The sequence below is a fragment of the Homo sapiens genome, chromosome 2, assembly GCF_000001405.40.
Source record: "Homo sapiens chromosome 2, GRCh38.p14 Primary Assembly".
Taxonomy (NCBI): domain Eukaryota; kingdom Metazoa; phylum Chordata; class Mammalia; order Primates; family Hominidae; genus Homo; species Homo sapiens.
The window spans coordinates 107,914,618-107,915,711 of NC_000002.12; the positions used below are offsets into that span (position 1 = coordinate 107,914,618).

At 38.6% G+C, this 1,094-nt stretch overlaps 1 pseudogene; it reads left to right on the forward strand.

Annotated features, from left to right (window-relative positions):
* On the forward strand, positions 272-877 carry RPL22P8 (ribosomal protein L22 pseudogene 8; annotated as a pseudogene).
* The last annotated feature ends 217 nt before the right edge of the window (positions 878-1,094 follow it).

The window sequence follows — 1,094 nt, forward strand, 5'->3', positions numbered from 1 at the left end:
AATGAAAATCTAAACTGCAATGAGATTTCATTTCATCCCAATCAGAATAGCTATTATCAAAAAGACAAAAAATAACAAATACTGGAGAGGATGCAGATTAAAGGGAATTCTTACACACTGTTGGTGGATATGTAAATTAGTACAGCCGCTATGGAAAACAGTATGGAGGTTCCTCAAAAAACTAAAAATTAAGCTACCATATGATCCAGCAATCCCATCACTGGATATACATCCAAAGGAAAGAAAATCAGTACGTTAAAGAGATATCTGGCTTTCTGCCTCCGCTGCTGCCATGGTGCCCGTGAGAAAGCTTGTGGAGAAGGCGGGCAAAAAACAAAGCAGGTTCTGAGGTTCACTCTTGGTTGCACCCACCCCATAGAAGATGGAATCATAGATGCTGCCAATTTTGAGCAGTTTTTGCAAGAAAGGATCAAAGTGAACGGAAAAGTTGGGAACCTTGGTGGAGGGGTGGTGACCATCGAAAAGAGCAAGAGCAAGATCACCGTGACATCCAAGGTACCTTTTTCCAAAAGGTATTTGATATATCTCACTAAAAAATATTTGAAGAAGAATAATCTTCATGATTGGTTGTGCATAGTTGCTAACAGTAAAGAGAGTTACAAATTATGTTACTTCCAAATTAACCAGGATGAAGAAGAGGAGGAAGACGAGGATTAAATTTCATTTATCTGAAATATTTTGTATGAGTTCTTGAATAAAACTTGGGAACCAAATTGGTGGTTTATCGTTTTGTCTCTGCAGTGTAGATTGAACAGAGAACTGGAAATCATAGTCAAAGGGCTTCCCTTGGGCCTCCACTCACTTATTTGTAACATGATTTTTTTTATTTTTTATTTTTTTCTGCTTGAAATTTTCAGTTCTTGTGGTAATACTAGAGTAGAAGGAGAGGGTAACTTTACGGAACTGACAGACATTGGGCAGACAGATGAGGGCGTGGAGGTATGGACTGAAGGGAGTGACTGTTTTATTTTAAAAAGTGTGACTGTCAATTGTTTCTGTTGCTTTCCCCAAAGAATGATTCAGGGATACAAGTGGGCTCCTCTCATTCATTAAAAGAAAAGATGGCCAGGTGC